This window comes from Homo sapiens, chromosome 12, assembly GCF_000001405.40.
Source record: "Homo sapiens chromosome 12, GRCh38.p14 Primary Assembly".
In the NCBI taxonomy this organism is placed as follows: domain Eukaryota; kingdom Metazoa; phylum Chordata; class Mammalia; order Primates; family Hominidae; genus Homo; species Homo sapiens.
The window spans coordinates 111,940,805-111,956,063 of record NC_000012.12 but is presented as its reverse complement, the minus strand read 5'-3'; the positions used below and the strand labels follow the sequence as shown (position 1 = coordinate 111,956,063).

Sequence of the window (15,259 nt, the reverse complement as noted above, 5' to 3'; positions counted from 1 at the left end):
CTTACCTGAGAAGCAAAGTGAATTTTTGAACTAAGCCATCAGAAATACAGTCATGCATCGTTTAACGACAGCAATACATTCTGAAAATGCATCATTAGGCAATTTCATCATTGTGTGAACATCATAGAGTGCATTTACACAAACCTAGATGATATAGCCTACTATACACCTAAGCTATATGGTATAGCCTACAGCTCCTAGGCTATAAACCTAAACAACATGTTACTGTATTGAATACTATAGGCCATTGTAACACAATGGTAAGCATTTGCATATCTAAACATAGAAAAGGTATGGTAAAAAATACAGTATTATAATCTTATGCGGCCACTGTCTTATATGCGGTCTGCTGTTGACCGAAATGTTGTTATGCAGTGCATGACTGTAATTTCAGTTTTTGATTAATAGGCTGAGATGTGCTGTTTTCCAAGTACTATTTCTTTTGTGAACTCAGCCAACCAGTAAAAAGATGTTGCAATGCCAGGATAACATTTGGATCAGAAGGCTTTGTCTGCACTACAGCATCTGCCTCTGAAAGATGGAATCTGATCCATGGTCAAACCTCAGATTTTTTTATTCCCTTAGATGACTAGCTCTGCACTGAGAGGATTAATTTGGATATATATGATTGTCCTGTAGAATTTTTGGATCAGGAACAAATTCCATGCTTTCTCCAAAAGCATCTGAGAGGGTTGTTGCACTAAGATTTCTGTTTACCTGCCAGGTCCAACCCGCAGACCCTGGCCGAACAGTGGATGAACAAATGCACTCAGACACAGGGATCTAGTGAAAGAGTGGGCTACGGGACTGGGCCACCCACAGACACCAAGGAGGGTACTGTAAAGAGTCAGCAGCTGCAGCCCTGACAAGCCAGTGCTGCGGGCATTTATTCAGTGTAGATTTAATGACAAAGGCCTTGAGTCAACATATTTGTGGGCAGATGATTAAAAGCCAGGTTCCGAGGCCTATGTAAACTAACTTATCTAGATCAGTTTCTTTACATCTCCTTGTTATCTAACCTAAACTTTCAGGCACTGGATAAGAGAATCTGGCTACCTTCAGCCAAATCTTTTTCCAAAGCTTTTGTGAAAACTTCTGGCCTTCCAAGAAGGTTTGCATCTTTCTACAATTTTTCCCACCACCCTGACTGATCTATGTTTACCAGGAAAACTGCTATGGAAAAACAAGATACAGAAAAAACAATGCCAGACACTGTCCCAGTCAGCCTTTCCATTTAATCTTGGCTATTCTTCTGTATACTTTGATACAAGTTGAAGTGCCATCAGCTATATTTTCTTAGTGAACCGTTTTATTTCCTGGAAGAATGTGCTAGTCAGATATGTTAGAGACACCAGTTTGGGTTGCAAATGACATGAAGTTTAAGGCTTAGAATTAAAGCTGTAGTTTGCAGTCGATCGGACCTGGGTTCAACAGCTGCCAACAGCTTTCACAGCTGTTAGCTCTGTGACTTTTTAAGCAAGTGAACTTCTCTAAGTCTTAGTTTTATCTTGTAAAATAAGAATAATGACAAGGTTCTTAAGAGTTGTTGTGAAGAAGAAATTAGATAACAAATGTAAAGTGCCCTTGATTAGTATAAACTATTATTGTTCTGTTTATTTTTCAAGGTAATATAGAATCTCTCCCTACTTCCTCAAACAGAGGATTCACTTGCAATCCTTTCATTCCTGCACATCCTTACTGATCGATTACTTTCTGCATCTGCCTGGCAATAGAAAACAGGGTCTGCATCTGCCTGGCAATAGAAAACATATTCTCCCATATAGAATTAAATTTTATGATCTTTGCTTGTTAATGTAGTCTCACTCCCTCAGTGACCTTTTGGACTTAGTTTGCCTAACTCTAAGGCCTAAATTTTACAGTGGCTATGGGTTTATGTAACATTATTATTGTGATTTTTTAGGATCTTCTAATGGTTTAGATATCAAAGGAGATTAAATTTTTGCTAATCAATAGCAAAAAATAGATTTTTTCAGCTTTATTGGCGTGTAATTATTTTTTATTTTTGGTTTTTTAAACATTAAACTAGGGTTAATACTGATGTGTAATTAAATGAAAATATGATAGTATTTTTATGCTTTATTGGAAACTATTTTCTATGATAATCTTGAGCTGCCATCTAGTCAAGATCATTTTACAGAGAATTAGACAACCACATGTTTGTGATAGTTTTAAATGTGTTCTTGTAGAAGAGTGAACTAAGTAAGCTATTGAGGTTGTCAGCCTAAATAACAGAGAGAGAGACTCTCTAAAAGAAATAGAATTTATTCAGAAGTAAGCACTGCAATGGGAATATGATGGGCATATTCAGGGAGGTAAAGGAAAACAAGGATTTTTAAAGGAAAAATAAGGAGGATTACGTAATTGTTATCTTTGGATACAAGGATTAACAAGCGTGGCATCAGTCCAAGGTTAGACGGCAGTTGTTAGGCAGATATCCTTGCATAAGTACTTTTTGTGTGTGTAAGGTTGAAGTGGCCTATGTGCAATGTTGTGATTTTTGCAGGATCTTTTGTGATGGTTCTTATTATCAGGCATATGTGCATGAGAACCTCCGTTCTTGGCCTTCCCTGGCTCCATTTGTCAGGGATTTGACCCGAGTGACTCCATTTTGATTCTGACAATTTTCGCATTTCTCCCCTTTGATCAAGATCTTTTTCTGAAAGCATTGCTGATCAGTCATCCTGGTTGTTTGATTGAAAATTATGTTTGATTGTTTCTTGGTGTCAGGATGGATTTGTCTCAGGTTGTTGGTCTGGTCCCATGTCGAAGGGAGTCATTGGTGACTAGGAGTTAGTGTCAAACTCTTTTAGTCACATTTGAGCAACAAGGGAAGTTTGGAGGGAGTGGCTCACAGGGTAAGTCTACCAGGTGGAGTCTATTGTTAAGTTTAATTTTGCTATTTTGTAAGTGTTGTTATCATCACAAAGTGTTGGGCCAGCATTATTTTGTTAGGAGTTGTACTTTTGTAGAAATTTGGGAAGTAATAGGTACAAAGTTAAAAAAATACAAAGTAAAGTTCATAGTAATATGATAATCTCATTTCACATAATAGTTTTGAGCCATGAACCTAGGATTAAAGGCAACCAGTTGAATAAATCAAATGACCATGGGGAATTAGGTGAGACCTTGTATTAGGGTTCTCTAGAGGGACAGAACTAATAGGATAGATGTATATATAAAGGGGAGTTTATTAAGGAGTATTAACTCACATGATCACAAAGTCCCACAATAGGCTGTCTGCAAGCTGAGGAGCAAGGAAGCCAGTCTGAGTCCCAAAGCTGAAGAACTTGGAGTCTGACATTCAAGAAGAGGAAGCATCCAGTACGGGAGAAAGATGTAGGCTGGGAGGCTAAGCCAGGCTAGTCTTTTCAGGTTCTTCTGCCTGTTTTTCATTCTGGCTACACTGGCAGCTGATTAGATTGTGCCCACCCAGATTAAGGGTGGGTGTGCCTTTCACAGTCCACTGACTCAAATGTTAATCTCCTTTGGCAACACCCTCACAGACACACCCAGGAACAATACTTTGCATCATTCAATCCAATCAAGTTGACACTCAGTATTAACCATCACAGACCTCTTGTATTTATGTGGCCTGCTTTTAAATTATGTGTATATGGGTCTCAGCTTTTCCAGAGGAATTTATCTATCCACACCATGTAGTATTAGTAATATCTTAGACTTTTTGTTATTGTTGTTGTTCAGCTAGTAGATAGCAATCTTATTACTTAGCATTTTATGACTGGGTTGATTTGAAGCAGAGAGAGCCAAGTCAGCAAGTCAGTTGTGTGTGTGTTTTTTTTGTTTTGTTTTGTTTTGAGATGGAATCTCGCTCTGTCACCAGGCTGGAGTGCAGTGGCTCAATCTTGGCTCACTGCAATCTCCATCTTCCAGGTTCAAGTGATTCTCCTGCCTCAGCGTCCCAAGTAGCTGGGATTACAGGCGCATGCCACCACACCCAGCTAATTTTTGTATTTTTAGTAGAAATGGGGTTTCACCATGTTGGCCAACATGGTCTCGATCTCCTGACCTCATGGTCCGCCCACCTCAGCCTCTCAAAAGTGCTGGGATTACAGGCATGAGCCACCGCACCCGGCCAAGCCACCGTGCCCAGCCACTAAGTCAGTTTGAAAACTTAGTGCAAGCTGAACAAAAAGTTGTATTGGGATGTTGCTAACATCACCTACTAGGTAGGCTAAATGATTTTTTTTTCCTTTTTTTTTAACTCTTATTTTAAGTTCAGGGGTACATGGGCAGGTTTGTTATATAGGTAAACTTGTGTCATGGGGGTTTGTTGTACAGATTCATTCATCACCCAGGTTTTAAGCCTAGTACCCATTAGTTATTTTTCCTGATCCTCTCCCTCCTTCCACCCTCCATTCTCTGATAAGCCCCAGTGTGTGTTGTTTCCCTCTATGTGTCCATGTATTCCCATCATTTAGCTCCCACTTATGAGAACATGTGGTATTTGGTTTCCTGTTTCTATGTTAGTTTGCTAAGGATCATGGCCACTAGCTCCATCAATGTTCCTGAAAAGGACATGATCTTGTCCTTTTTTATGACTGTATGGTATTCCATGATATATATGTACCACATTTACTTTATCCAGTCTACCATTGATGGACATTTAGGTTGATTCTATGTCTTTGCTATTGTGAATAGTGCTGCAGCAAACGTATGTGTGCATGTGTCTTTATGATAAAATGATTTATATTCCTTTGGGCACATACCCAGTAATGGGATTGCTGAGTCGAATGGTATTTCTGTCTTTAGGTCTTTGAGGAATCACCACACTGTTTTCCACAATGGTTGAACTAATTTACACTCCTACCAACAGTGTATAAGCATTTCCTTTTCTCTACAACCTCACCAGCATCTGTGGTGTAACCACACCATTCTGACTGGTGTGAGATAGTATCTCATTGTGATTTTGATTTGCGTTTGTCTAGTGATCAGTGATGTTGAGCTTTTTTTCATATGCTTGTTGGCTGCATGTATGTCTTCTTTTGAAAAGTATCTGTTCATGTCCTTTGTGCACTTTTTAATGAGGCTTTTTTCTTATAAGTTGATTTTTAAGTTCCTTATAAATGCTAGATATTAGACCTTTGTCAGATGCATAGTTTGCAAGAATTTTCTTTCTTTCTGTAGGTTGTCTGTTTACTCTGTTGGTAATTTCTCTTGCTGTGCAGAAGCTCTTTAGTTTAATTAGATCCCATTTGGCAATTTTTGCATTTTTTGCAATTGCTTTTGATGTCTTTGTCATGAAATCTTTGTCTGTTTCCATGTTCAGAATGGTATTACTTAGGTTGTCTTCCAGGATTTTTATAGTTTTGGGTTTTACATTTAAGTCTTTAATCCATCTTGAGTTAATTTTTATATATGGTGTAAGGAAAGGGTACAGTTTCAATCTTCTGCATATGGCTAGCCAGTTATCCCAGCACCATTTATTGAATAGGGAGTCCTTTCCCCATTGCTTGTTTTTGTCAGCTTCGTCGAAGATCAGATAGTTGTAGATGTGCAGCCTTATTTCTGGGCTCTCTATCCTGTTCTAAAGGATTTTTTTTTTTTTTTTTTTTAAGATCAGATCTTGTCAAGTTATCTGCAGTGGCTACTGATTGTGAAATTTTAATTACACCAATGTTCTGCCAAGTGAAAGAGGTAGGCATAAGCAAGGAAAAATTAAGAGGCAAGAGTCTCATTATGATGGGGAGTCTTATTCCATTGTTTCTGGGGAAAGATGTCCACAGCATAAAGGCATCAATTTCTCATCTTGGTTTGTAGTTTTTAATGTCTCTGGTTATGGCATTGGGCAGTCCAGTGAACTTTCTGTGTTGCCCATACCCCGGGCACAAGACCCATCTCTTAAAATTTCTTTAGTTTAAGGTTTTTTTGGTTGTTTTTTTTGTTTTGTTTTGTTTTGTTTTGTTTTTGAGAGGGAGTCTCACTGTTGTCACCCAGGCTGGATTGCAGTGGTGCGATCTTGGCTCACTGAAACCTCTGCCTTCCAGGTTCAAGTGATTCTCCTGCCTCAGCCTCTTGAGTAGCAGGGACTACAGGTGTGCACTACCATGCCCAGCTAATTTTTATACTTTTAGTAGAGACGGGGTCTCACCATGTTGACCAGGCTGATCTTGAACTCCTGACCTCAGGTGATCCACCCGCCTCGGTCTTCCAAAGTGCTGGGATTACAGGCATGAGCCATCACCCTGACCTATTTGGTTTTAGTTTACAGGGTTTTAGGAACAGCATTTCCTGGTTTTAGTAATTTTATGGAAGAAGGTTGGATTGGAGGTACCTAGAAGATTTTAGGATCTAGTCCATTCTATAGGTACATAATAAAAACTTGAAAACAATTCCTCAGGGCCACAGTCTAATAACAGGTGTATTACAGATTTTCTTAGAAACATAAGTTTTTTCTTTACCATAATTGCGATTTTTACCAAAGATAATAGAGTAAGACTAAATTGTTTGTAAAATAGTTTAGTTTTATCAAATATTACCTGATCATTAATATAAGTGCAGCAGGAATAGCAACTGACCACACTGTAATTTCAGATTTAAAAAGTTCTTAAGTCTAGGAAGCCAAATGAAGGCAGACTTTAGACTTTGTCCATAGTATCTATAAACAATTTAAATATGACATTCTAGTCAAAACCTTGCTAATATATATAAGCAATGTTTTAAATTGTATTCCATTATAAAAATAGCATATTTTTATTGAACTTGTGGAATCAACTATATTGTTATAAGAATAAGAATACTTATGGGTAGTTTTTTAGTTTTGAAGGGATCAAGTAGGGAGAAAAAGTAAATGATTTTACTTTTCTTTATAAAAGCATATTTTATCAAATTAGTGTAAACTGTAGATAGCTTAAGAGAAAAAGATTTTGTTTTTGTTTTTGTTTTCTTTCTTTTTTGGGGGTGGGGGTTGGGGGAGAGGGCCTTGCCCTATTGCCCAGGTTGGAGCACAGTGGCGCAATCATAGTTCACTGCAGCCTCTAACTCCTAAGCTCAAGCAACCCCCGCCACCCCCGCCACCCCACCACCTCAGCCTCCTGAGTAGCTCTGAGTAGCTGGGACTGCAGGTGTGCACCACCATGCCCAGCTAATTTTATTTTATTTTATTTTTTGTAGAGATGAGGTCTTGCTATGTTGTCCAGGCTGGTCTCAAACTCCTAGCCTCAAGTGATCCTCTTGGCTAGGACTACCAAAGTATTGGAATCACAGGTGTGAGCTACCATGCCCAGCCATTTTTTAAAAAGAATTTATTGGAACTTTGCAATTTACAAAGCCCCCCTGCCATATAATCCCATATGATGTATAAAATTAAAATAAATATATGCATGAGTATATTTGTTTTAAATTTTTAAAAGTTTTAGTTTACCTACTAGTAAATCTGGTAAAATTGTTGCCATTTTTGTTTTGGTGCTTTGATTATTCCCCAAGATACTGCCACTTGTTTTATGTACCAAGTTTGAGATGCTCTAGGTATGCAGGTGGCCTGAATATCTTTTAGCCATCCAACAAAATATTTACTGACTACCTACTATTGATCAAAATATTTACTGAGGACCTACTATTGATTGGCACTGTATGAAGCACTAAGTTCCTGTGGGAAACTAGACATCCTTATTCCTGTCTCTGCCCCTTTTCCTATTCTAGCCCTTTGTTTAGAATGCCCAACCCTCTTCCCCCTAACCTATTCAAATTCTATCTGTGATTCTGTCTTCTCATCTCACCTTACTCTGAACTCCTACGTTTCTCAGAAGACTTGAACTATTTCTTTCCTGGATGGGCACGGTAGCCCTCCCTCAACAGGAGCAGCAAGGTGGCTGAGCAGGGAGGAATATAAGTTTCAAGGCTTCTAGCTGAACTCAGTGCTTATATGTAAATTAACCTCTGAGAAAAGCATGTTTTTTACCTTGTACCTGCTAGGCTGGATCTCCCAAACCAGATGAGTGATCCTTGGCCCGACCAGTTTTTAAAATTTGGAAAACAAAACATTTAAGTAAAGAACCAACAGTGTTTTTTCTTTTTCCTGAGTCCCAACAGGAAACAAAAAACAACAAGGTTTTAAAAAATGTATTTGTTTTAGCCAGCCAAATACTTTAATTCCAAATAAACTTTTAAATAAAAGTCATAAAAACATTACTTTTATGTTATTTAATCTCATGTAACTAATTTTTTGGTTTTATCTTGATTAGCAGTTTTGCAGATTTATTAATTTTTGCATTGGAGTTTTGGAAAATTTGTATTTAGTCCATTAATATTGAAGTTATTAGAAATTTGTATTTAAGAGTACTTGTTAGAGTCTTTTTCATGAATCTGATTGCAGATACCTGTAGGGAAGAATGAAAACAATAACTGAGGATGACACAACCTTTGAATAACCATGTAAAATCTGGTGAAAGTTTACCATAACCAGACATTCACAATTAAATGTGGTTATTTTTGTGGTATAAAATAGTAATCAGAATTATGACTGATACCATATTAGATTTTAAGAGTTTTGTACAATTTTGGAACATTTATATCAATAACATACCCATAAAAGTAACTGAAAGTAGATCTAACATCACTTACCTTTTGACAATGTTTTCCATATAATTTGACATCTCAAGTAAGCCTGATTTTGTTTAATATTTCTCTTTTATAAACTTTTGAGAAGTTCTGAGGCCAAATGGAATAACCCAAAGTTAGTTTGAAGTCAAAAAAGACTTAATTTAGAGTCTGATTCTGGGGAAGCCTGTCAAAGATGTTAAAAGGTTTAAAACACTTGCTCAAAACAGGATCACATGTCACTATGAAATAATAATCATTTATTTAACCAGAGTGACCATCAAAAGTCTTTAAAAGCAAAAAAAAAAAAAAAAGTCTTTAAAAGCAAGTACAGAAATTTATGTGGATATAAATTTTTTAACACTTTAATTAAAAACCCAATATAACAATATGAAACACAGGAAATTATTTTGATTAAATGTAAAATCTTTGGTTTTTTTAGGCCAGTTATCAAGAATTTAAAGAAAAACCTGTAATATGATTTTTTTTTCTTTTTATGGAAAGTTCATTTAGATGACCTGGGAGTCAAATCTGATGAAAAGGTACTTGACTTTAACCCATTTATGCTGGAGGTTGCAGCTTTTTTGAATTGCAGACGTGTGAAAAATCAGACCTTGGGGATGACCTTGAGCAGTAGGATGTAACTTCTACATGCTTAGCATTCCAATAATGGAACACTAGGCATAAATGGGTTTTAATCAGATACTGGAAGAGTATGTGTTCAAGATTATGAGAGTGTACACAGTTTTATAGGAGAAGTAAACAAGAAAACTAGTATCTTAAGCAGGGGTGTTGGGAACAGGCCCCCAAATCCCAAACTGGCCATAAACAAAATCTCTGCAGCACTGTGACATGTTTGTGATGGCCATGACGCCCACGCTGAAGGTTGTGGGTTTACTGGAATGAGGGCAAGGAACACCTGGCCCACCCAGGGTGGAAAACCACTTAAAGGTGTTCCTAAACCACAAACAATATCCTGAGCGATCTGCGCCTTAAGGACATGTTCCTGCTGCAGATAACTAGCCAGAGCCCATCTCTTTGTTTTGGCCCATCCGTTTGTTTCCTGTAAGGAATACTTTTAGTTAATCTATAATCTATAGAACTAATGCTTATTACTGACTTGCTGTCAATAAATATGTGAGTCAAACTCTGTTCAGGGCTCTCAGCTCTGAAGGCTGTCAGCCCCCTGATCCCGCTCCACACTATATTTCTGTGTGTGTGTCTTTAATTCCTCTAGCACCACTGGGTTAGGGTCTCCATGACCAAGCTGGTCTTGGCAAGGGGAATGTATGGATTTTAGAAAAAGTAAAAGCATGTGAAATTGTCTGGTTACATGGAACAATTTTGACAAATCAAGAAAATCCAGGAGTACAGAATCAAGTTATACTAGAGGAAAACATTGTTCTAAACATAAAGCTTCAGTTTAGGAGATGGTTGAAAATTTAAAGAAACAGATTGTGGAATTAAAACATCATAGCTTTGCCTAGCCTAACTTAAACATGCTCAGAACACTTACATTAGCCTACAGTTGGGCAAAACACAAAGCCTATTTTATAATAAAGTGTTGAATATCTCATTTAATTTATTGAATACTGTCCTGAAAGTGAAAAACAGAATGGGTGTATGGGTACATAAAGAAGTACAGTTTCTACTGAATGCATATCTCTTTTATACCATAATAAAGTTGAAAAATTATAAGTTGTACAATTATAAAGTTAGGGACTATCTGTATGAGATTAAGCAGAAGGTTCTCATTTGTCTTCCCTATCATAGATTCTTCTTTATGCAAGGTAGTCATTCAATGAATATTTGTGTCTCTGGGAGTTTAACAAAATAAAGATGAGTCCTGAGTCTCTCAAAATAATACAAAGTAGTTAAGATGATAAATTAATAATCATTTATCTTTGCTATTGAAGAATGTTAACATTAATTACAGTTCTTGAGGTTTTTAACAATATCACTTAAGGTGTTACAAAATTTTAAACCTGAAAACTTCAAGAAGGGTCAAATTTAGAATGCTTATGTATCTGCTATGAGGGCTGAAAAAAAATCTAACAGATACAATGACATCCTGGTTCCCTCTACTGGGCGTAAATGAAATTACCTATTTCTTCTTCTTTTTTTTTTTTTTTTTTTTTTTTTTGAGATGGAGTCTAGCTCTGTTGCCCAGGCTGGAGTGCAATGGCTCGATCTCGGCTTACTGCAACCTTCACCTCCTGGGTTCAAGCGATTCTCCTGCCTCAGCCTCCCAAGTAGCTGGGACTACAGGCACACACCACCATGCCTGGCTAATTTTTGTATTTTTAGTAGAGATGGGGGTTTCACCATATTGGCCAGGCTGGTCTCGAACTCCTGACCTTTTCAAGGTTTGCCTGTTTTTTAAAGGCTTGCTTTTTTTTTTTTTTTTTTTTTTAGATGGAGTCTCACTCTGTCGTCCAGGCTGGAGTGCAGTGGCGCGATCTTGTCTCAGTGCAACCTCCATCTCCAGGGCTCAAGTGATTTGCCTGCCTCAGGCTCCAGGGTAGCTGGGATTACAGGCATACACCACCACCCCCACTAATTAGGCTTGCTTTTAAGCCTTGTGAGGGCAGCCTTTTATGTACAGCTAATTTGGTCCCATTACAGAAGCAATACTCTTCTTATGATTATGCCCTGTGTATTCTTCCACTCTGATTGATGAGAAAGCAAACAAACTATTCCTGGCCCTGTGTGAGCTTTAGGGATTGTCCCACCTACTCTTTTCTGAGGATTCTTTCTCTGGTTTTCATGGTTTTCTCTTCCATATACATTGATTAATACTTAACCAAAGACTTGGGGTGACCTCTGCAGCTCTCCTGAGCATTGTCTTACCATATAGCTTCCTCTGCTCTGATACTGTACTTCACAAATTTTAGCTGCCTTGGCCTCCCAAACTGAATTCTGTCGCTCAGCTCACCAAGACAGTGGTCTGTTTGGATTCCCCCTCCTGTACTCACTCTAATTTTTGTATTTATAGTAGAGATGGGGTTTCACCATGTTGGCCAGGATAATCTCGATCTCAACCTCATGATCTGCCCACCACGGCCTCACAAAGTGCTGAGATTACAGGGTGAGCCACTGTGCCCAGCCCTCCTATACTCGCTCTTACCAGCTGGTGAGCTGGGGTACTTGATGGACTCGCCTTGCTTTTCTTTTTTCAGGGATTGCTGTTCTCTTCTGCTTGTTGCCTACTGTTTGAAAACTGGATATTTTCATATATTTTATTCAATTTTTAGTTGTTTAAGGCTGGAGGGTAAATTCTATTCCTGTTATCTCATCAAAGCTGGAAGTAGAAATTCCTTCTCTTAGATTTTATCCTACTAGTTCCTTGATATCATCTCAGTTCTTAGGTTCTTTTAAGGATTTTTTAAAAAATATCTTATTCAGCATGTTTAGTTCTTTTGAATGGAAAGTTGATTCAAATAGCTTAGCCTGTCATTACTAGAAGTAGAAATCCTTATTGCCTTTTCAATTAAAAAATAAAATAGAAAAAGATTATATGATATCTTCGTAAAAGTGGGACTGTGGGGCAGGTAGAGGTGGATAATGCTGTGGTTCTTTTGAACAGTCCAAAGGATAAAATAAGGAAGCAGGGCATGTTTTAGGTAGGCCTGTTAGAGTTTCAGACTTGGGGCCAGGTGCGATTGCTCACACCTGTAATCCCAGCACTTAGGGAGGCCAAGGCAGGTGGATCACCTGAGGTCAGGAGTTCGAGACCAGCCTGGCCAACATGGTGAAACCCGATCTCTACCAAAAATACAATAAAATTAGCGGGGCGTAGTGGCACGTGTCTGTAATCCCAGCTACTCGGGAGGCTGAGGCAGGAGAATCGCTTGAACCTGGGAGGCAGAGGTTGCAGTGAGCCGAGATTGTGCCATTGCACTCCAGCTTAGGCAACAATAGCGAAAACTCTGTCACATACACACACAAAAAAGAATTTCAGACTTGGTATGGTTTTGCCTGGTATGGACACTAGATGGTACATTACTAATAGACTAGTAGGTAGGATTCTCATAATAGAAAATAATGAAGTATGTTGAAAGAACTTCACAGTGTCAGAGTGAGATAGTTATGATGGGTTGTTTTGATTTTAACCTAGATATTCTACATTTCCTCATTTCTCTACACCGTCAATTACATCTGGTATTTGTACACAGAGCTGAGGATGAAACACACCCAGAGTGGACAGAGCACATCTCCACTGGTAAGTTTTATTCAGGGCTGATAGTTAATAATAGTATGCTAGGCCGGGTGTGGTGACTCCTACCTGTAATCCCAGCAGTTAGGGAGGCTGAGGGGGGCAGATTGCTTATGCCCAGGAATTCGAGGCCAGTCTGGGCAAGTGGTGAAAGCCCATCTCTACAAAAAATACCAAAAAAATTAGCCGGGCATTGTAGCACATGCCTGGAGTCCTAGCTACTCCGGGGGCTGAAGTGGGAGGATCACTTGAGCCACTGTACCCCAGCCTGGGTGACAGAGACAGACCCTGTCTCAAAAAAAAAAAAGTGTGTAAAAACAATCCCTGTATATCCCTGATAAACGGTGTAAGCATTTAGCACTAGCTAGGTGCATTTATGGAGGTTAATTGAAGAAAAAACGTGTTCCCACTGTTTCCATTCTTTTGACATCACTTCCTCTTCTCCCTTCTCTCTCTCACACACACATACACACACCCACACACACACCCACACACACACACATACACATACAGGTTTGATTATAGGAGTATTATTTACAGTGCTGGCATTCCTGCCTGGTTTGACTCAGCAAGGGAAATTCTTCTTGACTCCATGCCAACCCTGCGAGACCCAGTTCTGTTATTTATCTCCTGTTGTGACCTTAGACATATCATCTCCCTTTCTTGCACCTCCAATTTTTCATTGTAAAATGAAGTGTTGGCCGGGCGCAGTGGCTTATGCCTATAATCTCAGCACTTAGGGAGGCCAAGGCGGGCAGATCACGAGGTCAGGAGATTGACACCATTCGGGCTAACACGGTGAAACTCCATCTCTACTAAAAATACAAAAAATTAGCCAGACGTGGTGGCGGGCGCCTGTAGTCCCAGCTACTCAGGAGGCTGAGGCAGGAGAATGGCATGAACCCGGGAGGCGGAGCTTGCAGTGAGCCGAGATCATGCCACACTGCACTCCAGCCTGGGCGACAGAGAGAGACTCCGTCTCAAAAAAACAAAACAAAACAAAAACAAAAACAAGCAAACAAAATGAAGTGTTAGCCGGGCGTGGTGGCTCACACCTGTAATCCTAGCACTCTGGGAAGCCAAGATGGGTGGATCACCTGAGGTCAGGAGTTTGAGACCAGCCTGACTAATATGGAGAAACCCCGTCTCTACTAAAAATACAAAATTAGCCAGGCATGGTGGCGCATGCCTGTAATCCCAGCTATTTGGGAGGCTGAGGCAGGAGAATTGCTTGAACCCAGGAGGCAGAGGTTGCGGTGAGCCAAGATTGCACCATTGCACTCCAGCCTGGGCAACGAGAGCAAAACTCTGTCTAAAAAAATAAAAATAAAAATAAAATAAAATGAAATGTTAGTCTATGTGATCTTTAATGTCCCTTCCACCCCCAAGATGCTATGATTCTATGAACTCTTCATCTGATTGACTTCTTAAGGAGGTACTCTTCTTACTTTTTTATGTTGTTCTAGACGTTCATGTTTGAAGAAGGGTAGGGGCAGAGAATGCTTTTAAAATTTCTGTCTCTTACTCTTTCTTGCTTTAAGGAGAAAGGACACTGAGGAAATAACTGAAAAAGTAACATGAAGAGGCCCTTAAGCAGTATCCTGAACAAGATATCATTGTCTATATAAGAGCTGTTCAACTTTTTTCAATAATAAAAATATTTAATTCACAGTCTAGTTCAGTAGCTACTAGCTATATGTGGATACCGAAAACTTATAATGTGGCTAGTGTGATTGAGGAATTGAATTTTAAATTTTATTTAATTTTAATTAATTTTAATTTAATTAGCCACATGCAGCTACTATATTGTGCAACACAGGATTATACTCTGGCACCTTTTCTTTAGTTTACCTCTGGGTATTCCATACTAATAATTACTCTTTTTTTTTTTTTTTTGAGATGGAATCTCGCTCTGTCGCCAGGCTGAAGTGCAGTGGCACAAGCTCGGCTCACTGCAGCCTCCGACTCCCTGGTTCAAGCGATTCTTCTGTCTCAGCCCCCCAAGTAGCTAGGATTACAGGCACATGCCACCACACCCAGCTAATTTTTGTATTTATAGTAGAGATGGGGTTTCACCATGTTGGCCAGGATGGTCTCGATCTTCTGACCTCGTGATTTGCCTTCCTCAGCCCCCCAAAGTGCTGGGATTACAGGCATGAGCCAACGCGCCCGGCCTACTCTTCCATATTTTAAACTCGCTTAGTTTCTTAGCTCCCTACAAGTTAGTAAGGACCCGTGGCTATATATCCTTTAGTATTCTGTAACTGAAAGATACTGTAAAGAAATAATTATTCAGTATCTTTCCCTTTAGGTAAATGAATGTCTAAAAAGTCCAGCAGCCTTACAGGGATAGCATTTCAAGTTTTTATTTATTCATTCATTCACTCAAAAGCCAGTAGACTAACTGTAGCTTGTGAGACTTATTCAGCCACAAGTCATTCCCTAAAGAAGTTGCCATGATTAGAC

General features: G+C 39.0%; 1 protein-coding gene across 5 annotated transcripts in view, besides 2 other annotated features; it reads left to right on the top strand.

Annotated features, from left to right (window-relative positions):
• TMEM116 (transmembrane protein 116) overlaps positions 1-15,259 on the top strand; it is an 81,938-nt gene that overhangs the window by 57,156 nt on the left and 9,523 nt on the right. For 4 of the 5 annotated variants that reach the window (NR_122119.1, NM_138341.3, NM_001193531.2 and 1 more), the window contains one exon: positions 12,695-12,799. The exons of the other annotated variant lie outside the window; for it this stretch is intronic. Coding sequence is in view for 3 of the 4 variants with exons in the window: in NM_001193531.2 (NP_001180460.1) it covers positions 12,695-12,799 (105 nt within the window). In the remaining variant the exon portion in view is untranslated. The remainder of the gene's footprint in view (positions 1-12,694; positions 12,800-15,259) is intronic. 5 annotated transcript variants of the gene reach the window in all.
• Positions 872-1,072: a silencer, noted in NCBI's record as "peak1958 fragment used in MPRA reporter construct". NCBI's record gives its function as "represses an SCP1 promoter by STARR-seq MPRAs in K562 erythroleukemia cells {active_cell/tissue: K562}" and the evidence as "EXISTENCE:reporter gene assay evidence [ECO:0000049][PMID:32103011]".
• Positions 2,332-2,532: a silencer, noted in NCBI's record as "peak1957 fragment used in MPRA reporter construct". NCBI's record gives its function as "represses an SCP1 promoter by STARR-seq MPRAs in K562 erythroleukemia cells {active_cell/tissue: K562}" and the evidence as "EXISTENCE:reporter gene assay evidence [ECO:0000049][PMID:32103011]".